At 43.1% G+C, this 20766-nt stretch overlaps 1 protein-coding gene and 1 long non-coding RNA gene across 2 annotated transcripts in view, besides 2 other annotated features; one reads left to right on the forward strand and one right to left on the reverse strand.

The window, feature by feature from the left end:
- Window positions 240-519: a silencer, noted in NCBI's record as "silent region_2840". NCBI's record gives its function as "represses an Ori minimal core promoter by ATAC-STARR-seq in GM12878 lymphoblastoid cells {active_cell/tissue: GM12878}" and the evidence as "EXISTENCE:reporter gene assay evidence [ECO:0000049][PMID:35858748]".
- Window positions 552-3590, forward strand: ADRB1 (adrenoceptor beta 1). The gene has a single exon (NM_000684.3). The coding sequence runs from the start codon at window positions 819-821 to the stop codon at window positions 2250-2252; it is 1434 nt and encodes a 477-aa protein (NP_000675.1). The 5' UTR covers window positions 552-818; the 3' UTR covers window positions 2253-3590.
- Window positions 590-649: a silencer, noted in NCBI's record as "silent region_2841". NCBI's record gives its function as "represses an Ori minimal core promoter by ATAC-STARR-seq in GM12878 lymphoblastoid cells {active_cell/tissue: GM12878}" and the evidence as "EXISTENCE:reporter gene assay evidence [ECO:0000049][PMID:35858748]".
- LOC124902554 (uncharacterized) overlaps window positions 3648-20766 on the reverse strand; it is a 36113-nt gene continuing 18994 nt past the window's right edge. Inside the window, exon 2 of the long non-coding RNA XR_007062383.1 lies at window positions 3648-3881. This is a non-coding gene — a long non-coding RNA (uncharacterized LOC124902554). The remainder of the gene's footprint in view (window positions 3882-20766) is intronic.

A 20766-nucleotide genomic window follows, 5' to 3' on the forward strand; every position in this document is an offset into this window, starting at 1 on the left:
GTCCCCTCCCCGCTCAAGGGAGCTAGCGCTCTGTTCCGCAGAGAACCCCGGAACTGCAGGTCGAGGGGATGCGGGGGGAGCGGGGGCGCAGGAGGGAGCCGAGTGCTGGAGGCAAACGGGGCGCAGGAGCGGGTGCGGGAGGCAAACGGGGCGCAGGAGCGGGTGCGGGAGGCAAACGGGGCGCAGGAGTGGGTGCGGGAGCGAGTGGGGGCTGAGGGAGGGGACGGGGCCCCGGGGGGAGCCAGGCGCGGAAGGGGGCGCGGGGGAACAGGGACCAGGAACCAGCGGGCGCAGGAAGGGGTGCGTCCGCAGGAACCCGCGGGCGCACGGGAGGCACTAGCTACGCGATCAGCTCGGGACTCTCAGGAGCCGCTCAATTGCCAACGGGAGGGGGGTGCGGGGAGTTGGAGGTGGGGGTGCAGACCAGACGGGGGCGTGCCTTTGCCCGGATTGGCTGCAGGAGCCTGACGCGAGGCCCCGGGGGTTGGCTTGGGGAGTGGGAGCGGGGTGGGGTGGGTGCTGGGTGCCGGAGCTGCGGGCCCGGCGCGCTCAGAAACATGCTGAAGTCCCGGCGGCTCTTCCAGCAGCGGCAGCGGCTCCAGCAGCAGCGGCGGCGGCGGCGGCGGCGGCAGCGGCAGCGACAGCGCTCGGCTCCTGCGGGAAAGGCGCCCGGCGCCCATGCCTCCGGCCCCGCGCCGCGGCTGCCCTGACCCGGCCGCGACCTCCCTCTGCGCACCACGCCGCCCGGGCTTCTGGGGTGTTCCCCAACCACGGCCCAGCCCTGCCACACCCCCCGCCCCCGGCCTCCGCAGCTCGGCATGGGCGCGGGGGTGCTCGTCCTGGGCGCCTCCGAGCCCGGTAACCTGTCGTCGGCCGCACCGCTCCCCGACGGCGCGGCCACCGCGGCGCGGCTGCTGGTGCCCGCGTCGCCGCCCGCCTCGTTGCTGCCTCCCGCCAGCGAAAGCCCCGAGCCGCTGTCTCAGCAGTGGACAGCGGGCATGGGTCTGCTGATGGCGCTCATCGTGCTGCTCATCGTGGCGGGCAATGTGCTGGTGATCGTGGCCATCGCCAAGACGCCGCGGCTGCAGACGCTCACCAACCTCTTCATCATGTCCCTGGCCAGCGCCGACCTGGTCATGGGGCTGCTGGTGGTGCCGTTCGGGGCCACCATCGTGGTGTGGGGCCGCTGGGAGTACGGCTCCTTCTTCTGCGAGCTGTGGACCTCAGTGGACGTGCTGTGCGTGACGGCCAGCATCGAGACCCTGTGTGTCATTGCCCTGGACCGCTACCTCGCCATCACCTCGCCCTTCCGCTACCAGAGCCTGCTGACGCGCGCGCGGGCGCGGGGCCTCGTGTGCACCGTGTGGGCCATCTCGGCCCTGGTGTCCTTCCTGCCCATCCTCATGCACTGGTGGCGGGCGGAGAGCGACGAGGCGCGCCGCTGCTACAACGACCCCAAGTGCTGCGACTTCGTCACCAACCGGGCCTACGCCATCGCCTCGTCCGTAGTCTCCTTCTACGTGCCCCTGTGCATCATGGCCTTCGTGTACCTGCGGGTGTTCCGCGAGGCCCAGAAGCAGGTGAAGAAGATCGACAGCTGCGAGCGCCGTTTCCTCGGCGGCCCAGCGCGGCCGCCCTCGCCCTCGCCCTCGCCCGTCCCCGCGCCCGCGCCGCCGCCCGGACCCCCGCGCCCCGCCGCCGCCGCCGCCACCGCCCCGCTGGCCAACGGGCGTGCGGGTAAGCGGCGGCCCTCGCGCCTCGTGGCCCTGCGCGAGCAGAAGGCGCTCAAGACGCTGGGCATCATCATGGGCGTCTTCACGCTCTGCTGGCTGCCCTTCTTCCTGGCCAACGTGGTGAAGGCCTTCCACCGCGAGCTGGTGCCCGACCGCCTCTTCGTCTTCTTCAACTGGCTGGGCTACGCCAACTCGGCCTTCAACCCCATCATCTACTGCCGCAGCCCCGACTTCCGCAAGGCCTTCCAGGGACTGCTCTGCTGCGCGCGCAGGGCTGCCCGCCGGCGCCACGCGACCCACGGAGACCGGCCGCGCGCCTCGGGCTGTCTGGCCCGGCCCGGACCCCCGCCATCGCCCGGGGCCGCCTCGGACGACGACGACGACGATGTCGTCGGGGCCACGCCGCCCGCGCGCCTGCTGGAGCCCTGGGCCGGCTGCAACGGCGGGGCGGCGGCGGACAGCGACTCGAGCCTGGACGAGCCGTGCCGCCCCGGCTTCGCCTCGGAATCCAAGGTGTAGGGCCCGGCGCGGGGCGCGGACTCCGGGCACGGCTTCCCAGGGGAACGAGGAGATCTGTGTTTACTTAAGACCGATAGCAGGTGAACTCGAAGCCCACAATCCTCGTCTGAATCATCCGAGGCAAAGAGAAAAGCCACGGACCGTTGCACAAAAAGGAAAGTTTGGGAAGGGATGGGAGAGTGGCTTGCTGATGTTCCTTGTTGTTTTTTTTTTCTTTTCTTTTCTTTCTTCTTCTTTTTTTTTTTTTTTTTTTTTTCTGTTTGTGGTCCGGCCTTCTTTTGTGTGTGCGTGTGATGCATCTTTAGATTTTTTTCCCCCACCAGGTGGTTTTTGACACTCTCTGAGAGGACCGGAGTGGAAGATGGGTGGGTTAGGGGAAGGGAGAAGCATTAGGAGGGGATTAAAATCGATCATCGTGGCTCCCATCCCTTTCCCGGGAACAGGAACACACTACCAGCCAGAGAGAGGAGAATGACAGTTTGTCAAGACATATTTCCTTTTGCTTTCCAGAGAAATTTCATTTTAATTTCTAAGTAATGATTTCTGCTGTTATGAAAGCAAAGAGAAAGGATGGAGGCAAAATAAAAAAAAATCACGTTTCAAGAAATGTTAAGCTCTTCTTGGAACAAGCCCCACCTTGCTTTCCTTGTGTAGGGCAAACCCGCTGTCCCCCGCGCGCCTGGGTGGTCAGGCTGAGGGATTTCTACCTCACACTGTGCATTTGCACAGCAGATAGAAAGACTTGTTTATATTAAACAGCTTATTTATGTATCAATATTAGTTGGAAGGACCAGGCGCAGAGCCTCTCTCTGTGACATGTGACTCTGTCAATTGAAGACAGGACATTAAAAGAGAGCGAGAGAGAGAAACAGTTCAGATTACTGCACATGTGGATAAAAACAAAAACAAAAAAAAGGAGTGGTTCAAAATGCCATTTTTGCACAGTGTTAGGAATTACAAAATCCACAGAAGATGTTACTTGCACAAAAAGAAATTAAATATTTTTTAAAGGGAGAGGGGCTGGGCAGATCTTAAATAAAATTCAAACTCTACTTCTGTTGTCTAGTATGTTATTGAGCTAATGATTCATTGGGAAAATACCTTTTTATACTCCTTTATCATGGTACTGTAACTGTATCCATATTATAAATATAATTATCTTAAGGATTTTTTATTTTTTTTTATGTCCAAGTGCCCACGTGAATTTGCTGGTGAAAGTTAGCACTTGTGTGTAAATTCTACTTCCTCTTGTGTGTTTTACCAAGTATTTATACTCTGGTGCAACTAACTACTGTGTGAGGAATTGGTCCATGTGCAATAAATACCAATGAAGCACAATCAAGATTATGTACTGTGTGTCTGTAAAGGGTCAGTGACAATGAAAAAGACAGCTTGTTTTGTTCAAAATATAGACTGGATTTCCCATAGAGCTCTTTTAATAGGTTTCCATGACTCAATAACATAGCAAAATGCCTCCAGACCTAAATAAGGTGTTTACCTACTGAGAGCTACAGATTTACCCTACATTTTCACAGCCGGATTCAAGGTGTTCTAGACTACTTGTAGGCACTTTCAAGATCCCATCTGCTGCACTTGACTGAAGAAGTGACCTTTGTGATTGCGTAGCTCCTAAAAAAAAAAAAAAAAAAAAAAAAGTGACGCGGTCATTTAACTCAGCTGCAACTTTTCACGGAAATGCAGGAAAGACTAACTCATTGAATGATCAGTTGCCTACTTGGAATGCAATAAGTGGCTTCCACAGCTTATTTTTGTTTTCCAATAGAAAATCACAGCCTGCGGATGATCAGTGTGTGCAGATTTCTCCAGAGGCTGTTTAGAATGAAAAATGCTTTCATGGTTAAGCAAAAATGTATAAAAGGGCTTCTGAAGTAAATTTTTTTCTCTTATGTAGTTAAATAGATCATTTTGCCAGAAGTTCTGGGTGGACAGATCATAGGTAAAAGCAAGTGTGAAAGGATTTAAGTTTCCAACAAAATTACAGCACCCAAAGGATGGGGTATTTTTCATAAAGTTATTTCCTAAAGGAAGGGATAGTGCAATTCTGTCCTGAGATTAATTTTACATTCTCCAAAATACATTTAAAGTTCTTACTATATTTTTAAATAAGCTTTTTATTTCATGACCATACAGTAAAGAAACCAAAGTAAAGAATATTAACTTCTGGCTTATGCTGCACTTTAAATGAGCGGAGTATTCTTTAACAGGGAAAAGTTGAGACTGAATATTCTTTTTTGCAATGGCATATTCTAAAGACAAGGCAACCATCTTCTGAGAAAGGTTAATGACGTAGATGTTTTAGAGACCAGCAGAAGGTTGCATGAACAGTAACAGCCTCAACAAAAGCTGCTATGAAGTTTAACCCCTTTCCAGCAAAAAAAAAAAAAAAAAAAGGAAAAGGAAAAAGGAGAGCTTCTTTAAGAATACAAAGATAAATACTTAAACATATTTTGAAGAACATAAAATCAGTCTCAGGATGAAATGTCACTATAATTTCCCTAGGAACCAAATATGGTTAATATCCATCCACCCCCGACCATGAGTATGTAAGATGCATTTTCTTAGGGGTTTTGTCCTTCTTTGTTTGAAATTACTAGACACTGAAGTACCAGGTAAATGCTTCACTTTCTTGGTTTCCTGTTTATTTACTTATTTTGTCTAGATAAGTCTTCACATTTAAATAAAAAGAAATCTTCCCAGCCCAAAACATATACGCAGGCCCTTCAAATCTCAGGTCTTAAAATCACTCAGGTCTTAAAATCATGAAAGTCCTTTAAGCTTTAAGAACAAATGTGTATAATTTAACTACTTAGTACACAGGTTTAGTCACTTTAGTGAGTTAGAGGAAACCACTGTAATCTTGGGGCCGGTTTCTATGTATTGGCAGGAAATAGAAAAGATTTTTGTGTGATCTCCCAAGATCTCCAACTGAAAATTACATGGATTCAGAAACAGACCATGTCAGTGATTCCAAATCCCCATGAAGACTACTTTTTGTCGCTTTTGAAGAAGGCAGCCATTGATTTATAATAGGAAATGTGGGGAGCTGGGCTGTCAGTCCCAGTAGCGATGGCAGTGGGAGGAGAGAGCAGCCAGTCCTGCTTAATCTGGTGAGATTGTGCACTGCAGAAATAGGAAGAAGAAGACATTGAGTGTGCAAAAAGGCAGCCTTACCCATGGGCTTGTGTGTATCAAAGTACCAAAAGCATAAACCTTAAAATCAAAGCAGGAAAATGTGATCAAGATCCATAGATTTGCTACATTGGACGTTACATTCAGGTTAAACACTAACAATAACTCAATGGAGATTTTCCAGGATTTATAAATTCTCTCTCCGATGTAGAAATGTGTAATTGGTATAGCATATGGCTTCATACTTTGGTGAACTTGCCTATATAAAACTTTGCAAATAGAGTTTATTTGTTTCTTAGTCTATGCTTTCTTTGGAATTGGAATTATTAATAACTCCTAAGTGGCTATTGTGAAATCTTTCCTTGTTAAGCACATTTTCCTAGCTTATGTTAATTTCACATTTTGTTGAATGTGCCCGTTCCTCTGGCAGTATATAAAATTGCCAGACAGAAATTCTGCACCCAGAGTATCAGGGTAATATTAACATTTAAGTTTTTTGTAAGAGGTTCTCAGCAAGGATCTAAAGAAAAATTATTCTGTAACTTTTGCTGCCAGTTGTGAAAGACTTTTTAAAAAATGTTTTTAACCAAGCTGGACTCATTTGTTTAGTTGAAGGAAAAAAATTAAAACCTTAGAAGTAAATTAAACACACTGGCACAGATAATATCATTTTATTTGTACATTTCTGGCATAATGTGCTGAGAAATACTAATTCTTTTGACTCCCTGCCAATTTTCTACTAATCAAAATGGAGAAGATATGCACTGTTTGGATTATACCTAAAAATAGTTGTGCTACAGTCACATCAGCAAATGGAATTAAATTAATTTCTCTTTCTTCCTCTTCACATACACCCTCTGCACCATTTAAATTTCCATCTAGAATATTGCTCCTGAATCTCATAATTTTTTATTCAATGCATCCCAAATAACATTGCTACATTGCAATGATTTTTAAGCAAACTCTATTGAACTACTCTTCCGGCGGGATAACACTCTCCTGAAAATGCCATGTTTAGTCGGCTCTCATTTAAGGAGCCTCTACTAGATAGCTGTTATAATGTAATCAAAGAGGTAGGAATACTAGAAATAGATACTTTGTAGGCCAATTTACCTCATCAATAGTCTTTTTACCCTTTTGTAGGTGGAGGGCGATAGTGCCTGAATCAATCAGATTTGATCACTTGATCATAGAACAGATAAGCGGCTTCAAATCCGATTGCTCTAACGACAGACTGCAAAAATGGTAGCTCCAAGAAGCTCCCACACTGCTGGCACTATCAGAGCATGATCTTTGCAGTAACGTTAGCAGCACCCAAGAAGGCTTTGTAAGCAACTGCCTTTAAACCTTTGCCTTCTCTTGGATGTTTGGCAATGATCACGTCCCCAGCTTCTATACTTGAAGATCATTCTTGTCTTAGAAACACCACACTCACTAGCCCTTTTTGGAGCACTTCTTCGATTCTTTTTTTGTTTTTTTTTTTTTTTTGAGACGGAGTCTCTCTCTGTCGCCCAGACTGGAGTGCAGTGGCGCAATCTCGGCTCACTGCAGGCTCCGCCTTCCGGGTTCCCGCCATTCTCCTGCCTCAGCCCCACAAGTAGCTGGGACTACAGGCGCCCGCCACCACGCCCGGCTAATTTTTTGTATTTTTAGTAGAGACGGAGTTTCACCGTGTTAGCCAGGATGGTCTTCATCTTCTGACCTCGTGATCCTCCCGCCTCAGCCTCCCAGAGTGCTGGGATTACAGGCATGAGCCACCGTGCCCAGCGTTGGAGCACTTCTTCAATTTTTTCTGAGACAGGGTCTCACTCTGTTGCCCAGGCTGGTAGTGCAGTGGCACAGTCATGGCTTACTGCAGCCTCGACCTCCCAGGTTCAAGTGGTCCTCCCACCTCAGCCTCCTGAGTAGTTGGGACTACAGCCACGTGCCACCAAGCCTGACAGGTTTCTTTTTTGTTTTGTTTTGTTTGTTGTTGTTGTTTTTTAATTTTTTTTTGTTTATTTTTTGTAGAGACAGAGTCTCCCTATGTTGCCCAGGCTGCTCTTGAACTCCAGGGCTCAAGCAGTCCGCCTGCCGTGGCCTCCCAAAGTGTTGAAAATATGAGCTCGAGCCACCATGCCCGGCCTTCAATCCTTGAATAAGCTAGAAACATCTAGAACATCTAGTTCTTGATACATTTCTTTTCCTAGGAGAATTAATTTCTCACAAATCATTTCCTAAAGCTCTGATTTTCAACATCTGTCAATATTTACAGTTCCATTTTTCCTCTCTCTCCGTATTCCCTTGCTCATAGCTGTTAATTAGGAGTAGCAAGACCACGCTGTTTTCTTCCCACTTATGACACAAAACTTACCTATGATGCATTTTACATGTGAAGTTTGGGTTTCTTCCTGAGAATTTCAGTATTGCTCACAATTAGGTGGCAACTCCAAGCAGATAAAAATTTAAATACTTGTTTGTATTTTCCTATCAAAGGTGTTCAGGATGAGTTTAATATTTGGGGTGTGGGACTATCTTAGGCTTTCTTTTTTCTGATATTGTCACTTCGTAACCATGTGACCTTGTCAGTCTCATTATCTTGGTTTCAAAAGGTAACATTAGTTGTTCCACCTTCAACTATTTGCAAATTAGTTTTGCTAATTATTATTAGGCTAGCTGATTTGTGAGAATTGTGGGTAAAATTTTAGGGGTGTAGAAAACTCTTTCAAGCAGATGGCCCACTATGGCCACAATGGCTGTCTAACTGTAGTTCCCACTGTGCCCAATGACCTTGGGGACAAGTCACTTAGTTTCCTTGCCATTCAGGTTCACTTCCTACAAAGCCTGATCAGTAGCCTTTGTTTAATCTCTTTGAGATGCTATGACAGAAGTTCTTTGCTTTGCAAAGTCTATCTTTTTGAATACTTTCTCCTGGCCTCCTTTTCCCTTTCCTAGCAACTCCACCCACAGAAATCCCTCCGTCTTCTTCTTTTTTTTTTTTTTAAGTGAAAAGAACAACTAAGAATAGCAAAAATATATATAATAGCCCATGCATTCAAACAAATGGTCCTTCATTTTTTGTTGCAATTAAAATTCCACAGAAACCACAACTGAATAAAATAATCTTCCGAAACATCGGATTAAAAAACCTGTTTGCTGTGTGCTGAGCAAAAGTGATTGTTTAATGATTCTTAACCCACAGCCACTTTGAGAAAAGAAAGCCAATTTGGAAAACTACTCAACTCTACAATTTTGCATTGAGTTATAAATACTAAAAGCAACTATCTAGATTATTCTCCTTTTTCTTGGAATAGCAATTCAGAGATGAAAAGCACTGAGAGCAACAGGAGTTTATATTTTTGCACGCCCTTCCTTTATGGGTTGCAGGGTATTGAGTTTCTCTGTTCCCAACCTAATAAACAGGGACAAATCTACAGGAACTTTACTGGCTTACAATTTCTGTTATGTTAACTACAGGAACGCACCTGCAATCTTGAAGTCCTTGTAAAAACTGCTCTTAAAGAGTAAACATTAATAGACATTCCAATAACATTTTCTTCATTCAAGGGATTTTTTTTAAACCATTATAAGTAACATTTTAGTAAGATGCTCTTTTTAAAGAACTCATTGCACTTAACTGATTTTGTGATCAATTCAGAGATAGTAGTTTTTTTTTTTCTTTTCTTAAAATAGACATACTTAAGTAAAACTGAGTCACTCAGAAGAATTCCAGACTCTTCAGCATGGGAAAGATCTTGATGTGTCTAGTAAACACTACCCCAGCCCCGTGCAAGGTTATACCTAGATCAGTGCAGATCTAGAGAGATGATCTGGTGAGATCATTTTGAGATTTAAAGACCTGGTCTACTGAATAGCCCATCCTATCAGCAAATGTTTCTTTTATAGCAAACCCAGATCCCTCATCCTGTTTTAACTCATGATTGATCTCAGGGAAATCTGAAAAACTGAGGACTGAGCCACTATTGTTTATAAAAATCCTTTTGATGGCCAGGCACAGTGGCTCACACCTGTAATCACAGCACTTTGGGAGGCTGAAGCGGGTGGATCGCTTGAGCCCAGGAGTTTGAGACCAGCCTCGGCAACATAGCGAAACCTCATCTCTACCAAAAATACAAGTTAGCCAGGCATGGTGGCATGTGTCTATAATCCCAGCTACTCAGGAGGCTGAGGTGGGAGGATCACTTGAGCCCAGGAAGTCAAGGCTGCAATAAGCCCTGATCATGCCACCGTAGTCCAGCCTCGGTGACAGAGTGAGACCTTGTCTCAAAAACAAACAAACAAACAAAAAACCCTCTTGATGATATACATGTAAAACTGTGACACCCTCTCCTCAGCTTTCTATGCACTCAATAATTCCATTTGCTTTATAAACAACTTCAAATCCATTCATTCTTTCTGTTGTTCACTCGGGAATCATTTCCAGTAACAGGGATTCCTTCTAGCTAGAGACAAGAAAGAGCACAACATGATACAAAATATTAAGTTCAGACCTGGTCTGATGTCATCAACATGTCATCATTCCTGGAATCATGCTAGTAACTTTTTTCAGTCACCAGAGTCACAAAGCTCTGAAGATCAGAAGAAAATATTGTGCAAAGTGAAGAAGTATAACATGAAGATTAGTAAATCTTTACAGTACTGTAAAAAGCATCCTGTAAGCATGGGACAAAACAGACAATATACATTTTAAAAATGTAAATTCCATTATAGGTAATTTATGTTTTATAAATTATAAAATATATAATATTTTTTAAAAACATAACATTTTTCTAGGACCAGGCAACGAATTAAAACCCCCTCCCGAAAGGGCACATGTTTACAACTCTCTTCAAACCTTTTGATTGTTAATATACCTAAAGGGACAAACAAATGTTATATTTGTTTCTTTGAGATGGGGTCTCGCTCTGTCACCCCGGCTGGAGTGCAATGGCATAACCACAGGTCAATGTAGCCTCAATCTCCCAGGCTCAAGCGATCCTCCCATCTCACCTTCCCCTGAGTAGCTGGGACTACAAGCATGCGCCACCACGCCTGGCTAATTTTTGTATTTTTTGTAGACACGTAGTTTTGCCATGTTGCCCAGGCTGGTCTTGAACTCCTGAGCTCAAGCAATCCACCAAGGCTCAAGTGATCCTCAGCCTCCTGAGTAGCTGGGACTACAGGCACATGCCACCACACCCAGATTTTTTGTTTGTATTTGTGGAGACCGGGTCTCCCTATGTTGTCAGAGCTGGTCTCAAACTCCTGGGCTCACTTGATCCTCCAGCCTTGGCCTCCTAAAGTGCTGGGATTGCAGGCATGAGCCATTGTGCCTGGCAGAGACAAATAAAGTTTTTCACATTATATGTGCTGGGAAAACACTTGGGGAGCGTAATTTTATAGAGGATTTCTGTGATTAGTCTTTTGTGATTCATATGTTCATCTGTTCTTAATTAAGGGTATCATGTACGGAGTGAGTGTGCTGTATGGGTTGCACCCAGCCAAGACGGAGCCTGTCACACTCTGGTTGGGGAGATTAGACATCCGTGTGTTGAAAAATGACAAAATATGAGGCAGGTGTGGTTGAATGCCAGATGCCTGGGCCAAAAGTAGGGCTCTAGACCAGTGCTATCTCATAGAAACACAATGCAAGCTATGTATTTAATTTTATATTTTTTAGTACAATTAAAAATTAAAATAAAAATAAATAGATAAAATTAGTCTTTCAATATGTAATTGATCTAAAACATTTTTATGAGATACTTCACTTTTAAAAATAGTAAATCTTTGAAATCTGATGTGTATCTTCCGTTTCTAGCCCATTTTAATTGGAACTAGGCACATTTCAAGGGCTCTCAGTAGCAGGAGAGAGTGAATGGTAGGGTGGCATAACCTAGAGGCTGGATAACGACATGGACCTCAGATGAGGAGAGAAAACGGCATGAATGGCCATTCCAGGGGAAGTTATAAGGAGAAGAAAACTGCATGAACAAAAACCTAGAGGTATGGGGAGTCAAGAAGAATGATCAGACAATGAATAGGCAGTTGCAGGTACTTCATTTTGATAGAGTAATTGGAGATAAACCTGGAAAGTGGTTTGGGAACAGATCAAAAAGTTTATGCAAAAGTGTTGAACTCTAATCTTCCTAAAAGCATGGAGATTTATAAGCAAGAGTGTCAGGATTAAAACAGTGTTTTAGAAAGATTCACCTGGCATCAGAAGGCATGATGGGTAGATATTAACATCTCAGTTAATCTTCAAAGTAATTCTGAGTTCGTAAATTTAAAAATCTCATTGTACAAATCAGAAAACTAAGATTTATGTAATTTCATATATGTGAGCTTATTATATTTTTTTTTTTTTTTTTGAGACAGCGTCTCACTCTGTCACCCAGGCTGGAGTGCAGTGGTGTGATCTTGGCTCACTGCAACCTCTGCCTCCCAGGCTCAAGTGATCCTCCCACCTCAGCCTCCCAAGTAGCTGGGACTACAGGCACGTACCACCACATCTGGCTAGTTTTTGTATTTTTTGTAGAGACAGGGTTTTGCCATATTGCTCAGGTTGGTCTCAAACTCCCGGACTCAAGCCTTCAGCCTGCCTCAGCCTCCCAAAGTGCTGGGATTACAGACGTGAGCCACTGCGCCCGGCTGACCTTTTTGATTTTTATGTATCAACTTCAGGAGCTGACTCAGAGAAACACACTCCTACCAAGCAGGTTTCTGAGTGCATAAGTATGAGGACCTGTTAATTGCCCAAGGTCATGCCCCTATGGAGGTAATGCACATGAGCTCAGGCAGTTCGTTCAAGGCAACAGGCGAGCAGAGATCAAGTCTAGGTGCCTGACTCCTAAGTTAGTCTCTTTTTCATATCTCCAAACTACTTGTCCATTCCCTACCAGACTAGAGGTTCCTTTAGAACTTGTCTTTCTATCTTTAACTCTGCAGTGCCTGATGCATTACCACATACATGGTATGCACTCTGAATATTCATTGACTACATTCTACTAGAGTCAGAGAAACAAGCTCTCTAGCTCCCGCAATAGTCCAGGCACATAGTGGTAACAGGCCTAACTGGAGCTGAGCACTGCAAGAAGATGTGACATAACCCTCTATTTCTTTTGTACATCCAGATTTTCACTATTAGACACAAAGAATAGTTTCTCTAGGAAAAGTGCTAAGCCTCAAATTGCAATGTATAATATATGGGACAACCTCTGCTGGTATCACAGGAAACAATGAGGTTTTCCAAATATTTCTAAGAAATGCACTTATTTCTAGAAATGGCACATCGATTGTTGAAATTCTGTACCTAACCAACATAAATTCTATGACTATGAAGGTGGTATATACTGTATGAAAATGTACATCATTATTTAAAAATAGGCATTTCACCAAAATTGCTAAATGAGAACTACGTGCTCTAAGTTCTAGGTCAATTGTCAATGGGAAAAATACTTGATTTATTTGTCACTTATTGTATTATATCTTAAATGGGATTCTTTCCTTTCTAACTGAGAGATCCAGAGACATTGTTCTCACTGGACTCTACAGGGAAAAAAAAAAAGCCCCATCCCAAGCCCCAGTGCGTTCCGTGGACCCAAACAGTCATCGTAGCTAAGAGAGCAGATTTCATTTCATTAATGTACAGATTTCTATTTTAAATGTTACTTCTGCCTGTTAATACTGTAAGAAATAATATATCCATAAAAATATATTTAGGGCAAACAAACATCACAGCCCTCTCAAAGTTTCAAAACAGATTCATAATCATTATCTTCCCATCTTAGCACAAAAGCTAGAGTTTATATGGGATCTTTAACTGGTCCAAGTTACATGGATTTTTGCCTTTTGACAAAGCATTAACACTTTACTTGAGATTTTTAAATTGTAGGTGTGTTCTCAATAATGCAGAATTCATTTTAAATAACATTATATTTCTATTCCCTCAATGGGATTATTGTTTGCAAGAAACTCAGTGTTGAGGCTTCACACTGGAAAGGTGGGAGCCAGGCAGAGGCTGACATGAGGAAACCTCCATGGGCCATGACCTTGGGACATTTGCAGGCCCCCTGCTTCAAACACTCAAGAAACCTATTTGGTAAGAATGCATTTCTCTGTGTCAGCTCTTCAGATTGATATATGAAATCGGAAAGCCACTTTAATAATTCACAAGGTAGTGGTCACAAGGCCTATTACACACGCCGTGGGCATGACCAGATATTCTCTCTCTATACCCAGGGAAGACAGTACAGCCAAAAGGTTCACAGTAATCCTGGGGTCAGAACTGAGAAGCCTGGTTGCAAGGACTTACCAGTGCATCCATTTTTACTATGGCCCAGAACACTGGAAGTCTGCTGGGTTTGAGACCGACTCTTCCCTAGATAGGGATTGGATGGGCACTGCCAGTAGTGGACTCCCTGTCTCTCCTTTTTCTGTCACCAATAGCCAAGTGCCCCTCCCCTCTCTGCTCCATTCCCCAGTAGACAGATTCTTCCTTTATAGAAGTCGAGACACCTAAGCAGGTCGGTCAAGTCGTGTTGACCTGACTGTCTCTTTACAGGGACAACATGTCTTTGCTCTCATCCATTATTTGACTTAGAAGGGCTGGTAGTTAGGAGGAGGTTTTGCTGCTTTCCCTACAACTCTTGAGATTAAAGCACATCTCCCATAGAAAAGCTACTTGTCCCTTTTCTACATTATAGGAACCCAGATACTTGGTTCTGTTAATCTTGCTAATGGAAATAGCATTGTTTCCATTTTATTTAACGATATAGCTCTTTTCCTTAAACACATTAAATATATGTCTAACCAGCATTCAAATCTTTCTTTCTGTGATCTGTATGTCAGATGAATTTGAACTCTAATTACATTTTCCTGATCCATATTGTAGAAACATCTTAGCTAACTGTGCCTCTGAAAATGCCACACTCTTAGGTCTGGACTCTGGACAGATGTCTTAGACTCTGGACAGATGTCTAAGAGGTGAATCATGTTTATGCAGGGGATAAAAATGATGGTTTTGTGATGGCACTGAGGAACTGGGTTCAATCTAACACATGTTAGATTGCAGTTGTAGGGCAAAGTTTGAAATTTGTGGCAAAAAAGATGATTGCATTCTTAGGCTTTTTGTTTCCAACCAATAGAATAATATATTGTCACCTTCCTGCATTACAAATGCAATTATAATACAATAATACAAATACAATTTATAATCATTTATTCATTTGTTTTACCTACTATGTGCTGGGCCCAATAGAGTATAGGGCAAGGCAGACACTGTCCTCAAAATCAGGAAGCTACTGTAGCTAATGTTTCCTCCACTTGCACTTTTGAAGAATTAGTAGAGACAAAGTAAACAAGTGCTTTTTAGAGTTCATTTCTCAGAAATCGGAACTAACTTGCAGGATGTCAGTCCAGTTGCGAAAGGTGAGAAAAGCATTTTATTCCTTTTTAAGGGTGACCACAAAACCCATATATTGGAAATGTCAAAGTTAATATTACATATACACATGCATATATATGTATATATATGTATATATATGTGTATATATGTATATATCTTTTTAGGTAAAATATATGGGATAGTCCCACAAGCTCTTCTCTGAGGCCCTGTGGGGCAAGATGTGTTTTGGGATTCAGAATCTGGAGGTTTTAGGAAGGTAATATGGTTCATATACTAGATATTACATAACACCTAAGCAGATATCAGATATTACATAACACCTAAGCAGGGTCCAGATCAGCACCTTATAATCCAACATTGGTGTCTCTACTGTGAAATGTATGATTATTCACAGTAAGTGGGTAAATAATGACTATAAATAGCCTCACACCACTTCAGGTCAGATCTTGCTGCCAAATGAGTTCAAGTAAGGTCACGTTTGCTGCCAAATGAGTTATGGAAAAAGACTCTTATCTTCAGAGCTTTCTGGATTTGGGAATTTGGAGTAAGAAGTTGTGGACCTGTATTATGGAATGTTCCTTTATAGAAAACCATCTACTGTTTAGGAAAGGCAACAAAATATATTTAAGCCTACCAGTTATATTACATCAATTGATTTAGTAGTAATATTATTCAGCAATTAATTAATTTGAGGAATAAACACTTACTTAATAGTGGCCATGCCAGGGAGATTTTGAACCAGCTAAGGTTACATCCTGTTAGCAGATATTAATAGCCAAAGGCATGATTGTGATGCGGGGACAACTTTCTTTGGAAACAATCCGCAGTAGTCAATATATTATATAGCCAACCTTCGGTTTAGCAGAGACCAACCTATCAGCTAAGAAAATATCTTTAGTGAATACAATGCTGATTTCAAAGAATCTCAGAATTGGAAGTGAACTTAAAAAAAATCACTGTAGCCCAACCATCTCTCAGAGCAAAGATTCTTCTTATTCTTGAGACATCAACCCCTTTAAGATTACAAAAGAAAAAAGAAAAGGAAAGAAAAAGAAAAAAGGCTATGATCTTCATCCCAGAAAGATACACATAATCTACATATGAAAATCATCACAATTATTTTCAAGGGTTCCATTAAGAAATCCTGCCTTAGATTCTTGCCGTATTTGAAAAGAAAGCTAAGGTAAAATTTCACAGCAATCTTAGTACCGCAGAGAGCGTCTTTATTTTAAGCTGCTTCATAAATTGCCTGTGGTCATATGTCTTGGTGTCTTCTCTGACATTTATCTCAACTTATGATTTTCTATGCAGTATTTATAAGATAAATATTTTTGAACTCATTGTGACCTTTTGTTTTTATCTTAAAAGTTGGAAAGAGGAAAAGTAATGACATTTTAGCTTTTCTCTTTGTATTTTTACATTCCATATCATCCATAACTCAGAAGGGTAAAAAAAAAAAAAAGAAATCCTGTAAGGAAAAGGCCTAAAATGTCCTACTAGTAAATGTATCAAGCATCAATTTTCAGTTTGACATTAACTGAGAAAGGAAATGATGAAGTAAATTTTCTAAGTGTTGAGCTGTCACAGGAAAAATGATTTGTATTAGTCTCTGGCATGAAATCATGATTTAGATTTGTCAGTATTAGGCCACAATTTATTTTCTTTGACATCTGTAGGAGACTGAGGGGAGAGGGTTCTGGGCATGTTGCAGTGTACACTTCCTTCTGCACTCTCATCTGAATTGTTCATGAAGAGCATCCTTTTCAGCCTAAGTGTCTGAAAGAGGCTCACCAACCTGCCATGAGGCAGTGCCATGGCAGATCTGCAGAAGGAGTGCATGAACCCCCAGCCACACTGATTTCTAAGTGAGCAATGGCTTCCTCCATGCATGGACAGGAAAACTTTCCTTCAGCTTCTTTCCATTCAGTCTAACAAAATGGAACATAAATGGTCCCAAGTACAAGCCGGATCCCACCTGAAGTCTCACCTGTTAACTTGGTTCCCATCCAACAGCTTGCCTCATTGTCTTCACATGCACACAAGGCCAAGCCAGGGAAACCCCAGGTAGGCTGGAAAAATAAGCTTAGGTGATTGGTTTCTGGCCCATCATGCAATATTTCTTATCAGGCTCTGCAACTGGGCTTTGGCTGGGCCTCAGCCCAGAGTCTGGGGAGAATGGAGAGCTCCTCCTTAGATCAAGTGGCCAATGGGTGTGGAGGTTTTCCTCTCACATTGTTACCATTGAGGACCATTTCTTCTCCCCTCCCAGTAGGAGAAAAACACTCAGTCATAATAATTAATGTACTTTGGAGCTATTTGGTGTCAAAAAAATACCATGAAGATTACAGAACACAGAATCTGAAACAACCTTGAGAACAGTATACTGAGTCAAAGAACCAGACACAAAAGGCACATCTTGCATGAGTCCATTTATATGAAATATCCATAAAAGGCAAATTCATAGAGACAGAATGTAGACTAGTGGTTGCCAGGGGCTGGGAGGAGGGGGAGGGAAGAGTAATTGCTTAACGGGTCTGTGGCTTCCTTTTGGGGAGATGAAAACTTTGTGGAACTAGATAGTGGCAATGGTTGCACAACCTTTTGATTATACGAAATGCCACTGAATTGTGAGCTTTAAAATGACTAAAATGCTGAATTTTATGATATGTGTCTTTTACCACAATAAAAAGAAAAATCCTATAGAATTATTTTCTATTAGGCTTGCAATTTGTTTAGCTAAACAAAATCATGTAAAACCAAAACTGGGGAAGCTATTTTAATAAAAGAGAAAGGAAGAAAATTACCGTCACTTGAACAATGGTGAAATATATTTTTATCAGAGTTTAACGCATGCAAGGAGGAATCTTAGTCTTCATAAGCCAATGTGATTTCTTCTTTTTACAGATAAAAAAGTTAAGGCTTTTGTGGTAACCCAGTGTTCAGGAACAGACATCTAGATTTGAGTCTTTCTCTGCCAGATTTATGGGCTATGCAATTTAAGTGCAGTTACTTGGAGCTCTCCGAAACTCAGTTTCCACATCAGTAAACTGAAAATATCTAGGGCTGATCTTTTGAAAATATCATCAGACCTCATGATTCACCAAAGCCAAATCAATTAGAAGTTACTTCAAGACGAGAGAATACCACCATGACAAAGTCTTAGCAGTGCCTCATAAGAAGGAAGTCAAAATGGATATTTATAGGGTTTTAGCTCCTGGGGCACATATGATTCACGGCAGGCCTTTCAAGGTGCAACCGGTTGAGATTGGGCAGGATTTGCAACATAATAGTGTAAGATTGGCCGGCTTAGCAGCGCAAAGGTCTTGAAGCAAGTCTTGACAGGTAAACTGTTGTTTGAATAGCAAGCTGCTTGCCTGTTGTCTCAGATAAATTCCTACCGGAATTTTCTGAAGCAAACTGTGCAGTTATTTATTGACTTACAGTCTTACTCCTGTTGAGGGAAGGGTTCCTGGAACAAACAACTAAATTGTGATAACACCGGTGGTCTCAGTTTCAGTCCTGAGTCTGTCATGTCTGATACAGGTCGGAGTTCCCAGAGATGCTATGGTCACGTGTCAAGCGCATAGCCTGGGCACTCAATACATCCTTCATTTTTTACCAAAGCATCACCACCATTTCCGCTCAAAACTTGCTCCTTGATAGTGAATCTCTGTCAGAACTAGAAGAAAGGTTTGTGCTGTACAGACCGGAACCCTTCCTGCCATCCACAGTCGGACTGGGCTCCACTTCTTTGGTCAAAGGCAAATTAATTCAGCTACAATAAAGACTCCCAAGTCTTTTCACCATCCTGAATGAGGCAGCAGCAGAGCGCAGGGTTATGATGCTGACAGACCGAGGCCCTAGCTTCCCTGTTGCTTGATTTGTGACCCTAGGCCAGTTATTTCCCTCTTCCAGCCTCACTTCCTCATCTAGAAGATGAGGACGATCGCGTTTAGCACGTAATACATATTCGGCTAACTTTTTAAATTAAGTAAATAAATTGTTCTCTCAAATTTTTTTTAAATTTTTTTTCTAAGGTTGAAAAAGATGAAGCTTTTTTGTTTTGTTTCCATTTGTTTCTGGTCATCCCTTATCTTCTGGGAGGACCTGGGTTACAGCTCCCTGGACATGATCCCATCCTTTCATGTGGGATCCTGGGCCCGACCTATTCAGAGGGAGAATGCGGAATCTCATGGGACAAGGTGGGTGCGAGGGACCCACAGACAGATTTTTCAAACCAAAGTTTAGATAAACATGATCAAATCTAAAAATATTCATTCTTAGCTACTCTCCTCTTTTCCTATGACTTTCAACACCCCTCATGTGGTTGAAATTTGTAGCCATTCCCATTCAACCTGCTTTGCTGCCTAGGGGTCAAATATAACAGAGTTTTTTTGCTTGTTTGTTTTTGTTTTTGTTTTTGCAGTATTTATTTGTATAAACTAGCAGTTTTCTGACTACGGAAACATCCGCATCCATATGGCAGGTCAAATCCATGCTATCAGAGAATTGTGGATAATTCTAATTTTGAACACTTGGAATGGAAGCTTTCAGAAAAGGCCCCTGAACTGGGGATTGGGACCTGCATGGGTTCTAATTCTCTCTGCCCCCAGTAAGTTTGTGGGAGCAATTTTATACCTGGTAACTCCAGTGTTGAATGTGCAAAGGCTGCTGGTTGAACCAGGCAACCACTAAGGTATTTTCTTAGCTCTGATTAATTGTAATTACCCTACTTTTAACCATTGATGTATTCTTGAAAGTTCAGGCTTTCCTTAAAGGCAAATCTCATCACTTTCTCAGGGGTTTTAAAAGAAATCCAAGTTAATTAATTAATTTATATCTTTATATCAAGAAACATTTATTGAGCTCCAACTAGAAGCCAGGTACTATGTTAGGTCATGGGGTCATGGAAACCCAGGGCGCTGGAGACCTGGAGGAGGGCATGACCAACATAAATCTCTAACTCGGCAGGGTTTACTGTGAGACCCCCAAGGAGGGAGCAGATTCTAACACTGGCTGGGACAGTCAGGGACAGCATCACCCACAAGGTACCAACGGGCTGAATCTTGAGTGGTGAATTGTTTTTGCCCAGATGAAAAGGACATTCCAAGCAGAAGGAAGAAACTCTCAAAGGCATGCAGGCAAAAAAGAGCAAAGGACGTGTTCTGTGTTCCAAAGACAGCAGGAACATTTGCATGGCCGGAGCAGAGGCTGCCAGGCTGGCCCAGTGGGAAAGGATTCCTGATAACAGGCAAAAGCTGGATTGGGAAGGAGTTTATATATCTTAATAAGAATTTTGGACTTCATTCTATAGGGAAGAGAGTCACTGAAGATTTTAAGTACAAGAATAACTGGGTCAGATTGGAGTTTTTTTCACAAGCAATCCCCGGTCACAGGGGAGATGGATGGGTGGAAAAAGAACTAAAGAAGACGGCAAGAGAAGGCCATCAACTTCAAAATGGGAGACAGGTGGAGGAGCAGTTTGGGGAAGTTCACAGTAAACGGATGTGTGGTTTAAGACTCTTGCATCTGTGGGGATGCGGGGAGAGATGGCCACCAAGCACCTAGGAAAATAGATTTGTGCCTCAGGGAAGGGTTAGAGAACAAGGGACTTGTTGGAGGGACTTTTCACTTTTAACTTCAGGTTAGAAGTTAAATGCGAAAACGATCTAATACACCAAAAACACCCCAAAATAAGTAGGAAAATAACGATGAGGAGAAGACAAATGATGGGGAAGAGAACAGTCATTTCTACAGTTTTCCTTGGGCTGGTTTTCAAAATGACAAGTCTTTTTTACATGTTGAAGGATAAATATCTCTTTTGGATAGCCAATTTAGACATCATATGAATATAATAATGGCCTCATTGTCTCTAACTCAACACTGCCATGATGCCCTGAGTAATTGTAAATGCTCAAGATGCACAAAGATGCAAGATCCAAGGATACATCTGCATACGTCCACTGAAGATCACATTTTAAA

Source organism: Homo sapiens, chromosome 10 (genome assembly GCF_000001405.40).
Source record: "Homo sapiens chromosome 10, GRCh38.p14 Primary Assembly".
NCBI classification, from domain to species: Eukaryota; Metazoa; Chordata; class Mammalia; order Primates; family Hominidae; genus Homo; species Homo sapiens.